Genomic DNA, 2066 nt, shown 5'->3' on the forward strand with positions numbered 1-2066 from the left:
TGCACTGTAGTCCCAGCTACTCGGGAGGCTGAGGCAAGCGAATCGCTTGAACCTGGGAGGTGGAGGTTGCAGTGAGCTGAGATTGCGCCACTGCACTCCAGCCTGGGTAACAGAGCGAGACCCTGTCTCAATAAATAAATAAAAGACCGGGCGCAGTGGCTCATGCCTGTAATCCCAGCACTTTGGGAGGCCGAGGTGGGTGGATCACCTGAGGTCAGGAGTTCAAGACCAGCCTGGTCAACATGGTGAAACCCCATTTCTACTAAAAATACAAAAATTAGACGGGTGTGGTGGTGCATGCCTGTAATCCCAGCTACTTCTGAGGCTGAGGCAGGAGAATCACTTGAACCCAGGAGGCAGAGGTTGCAGTGACCCGAGATTGTGCCACTGAACTCTAGCCTGGGCAACAAAGTGAGACTTTGTCTCAAAAAAAAAAAAAAAAAAAAAAAAAAAAAACGAAAGAAAGAGAAATTCAAAATCAGCTGTGGATCCTTTTACATGGGTTTGTTCTCCATAAGCACATGGAATCTTGCCACTTGGAAGACAGAGATATAGAGACTGCCAAAACACAGTTAAGGTGGTTATAATTCAGCTTATTTTAGAAAACCATGATGGAAGCTCATGGCTTTATAAGTGAAAAGAACCAGTTATGGTTCAACTAAAAAAAAAAAAAACAAGTAACTCTGGTACTTTGAACTTGCCTTGGTAATATTATTGACTTATTTATGAGTAATGTTTTACCACTGTTTATACTCTGGGAGGTATAAGTGTCTGGGAGGACTTTTCTTTTTAAAAAATTACATTTTTTATTCTTTATAGAGATGGGGTTTCACCATGTTGCCCAGGCTGGTCTCAAACTCCTGGCCTCAAGCGATGCCCCACCCCCCAACTCCCAGTCTCGGCCTCCTAAAATGCAGGACTTACAGGCGTGAGCCACCAAGCTGGGCCCCTGGAAAAACTTTTCTAAAATACACACCAGATCTGTATAGAACAAGCATGGCAAAGGAGGAATTAGTAACACAGGGTTCTTTCTTTCCAGCCTGAATCCCAAATGACGTCAGTGCAAAGGGCAGGGTTTCTTTGTACAGAAACAGCTGACAAGAAAGCCATGGAATTTTCTGCACTTCACTGTACCAACCACCACCTGTCTGTGACCTCCATCTACCTGAGCTCCCCTCGCCAATACCAAGCCAGGGTCTTCTGCTGTACTCCCAGAGCCCAGGGTAGCACCTGGCACACAGTTGGTGCCCAATAAATGTGCAAAAGAAGAGAGGATGGAAACTTTAGATCATATATTTATTTTGATTTCCTTTTTTTTAAATCACATGTACCATGTAGATTTACAATTATTATGCATCAATTTAGAACAATTGTTTTAAGCTGAAAGGCCACTGGATTAGATACATGGCAGGAATGGAGGGCAGGGATCAGGCCTTCTTGCTCACCATTGCACCCCCAGGGCCTAGCACAGTGCCTGACACAGCAAACCAAGAGGGGTTATGTGGCTGTTTACTTTTTTTTTTTTTTTTGAGATGGAGTCTTGCTCTGTTGCCCAGGCTGGAGTGCAATGGCGCAATCTTGACTCACTGCAAACTTCGCCTCCTGGGTTCAAGTGATTATCTCACCTCAGCCTCCTGAGTAGCTGGGATTACAGGTGTCACTACATCCAGCTAATTTTTGTATTTTCAGTAGAGACAGGGTTTCACCATGTTGGCCATGCTGGTCTTGAACTCCTGACCTCAAGTGATCCGCCGGCCTCAGCCTCCCAAAATGCCAGGATTACAGGCATGAGTCACTGTGCCTGGCCCATATATTTATTTTAATATACAAAAGAAATGGAGGGAGGATATAAATGTTTTGAATGAAGAACTCTTAAAACTCAACAAGATAAACAACCCAATTAAAAAATGAGCAAAGGACTTGATGGACACCTCTCCAAAGATGACATACAAATGGCCATCAAGCACTTGAAAAGAGTCTCGATGTTATTAGTCATTAGGGAAATGCAAATCAAAACCGCAAGGAATTACCACTTCCTATCTACTAGGATGGGCTTTTTTCTTTTT

The sequence above is a fragment of the Homo sapiens genome, chromosome 10, assembly GCF_000001405.40.
Source record: "Homo sapiens chromosome 10, GRCh38.p14 Primary Assembly".
NCBI lineage: Eukaryota > Metazoa > Chordata > Mammalia > Primates > Hominidae > Homo > Homo sapiens.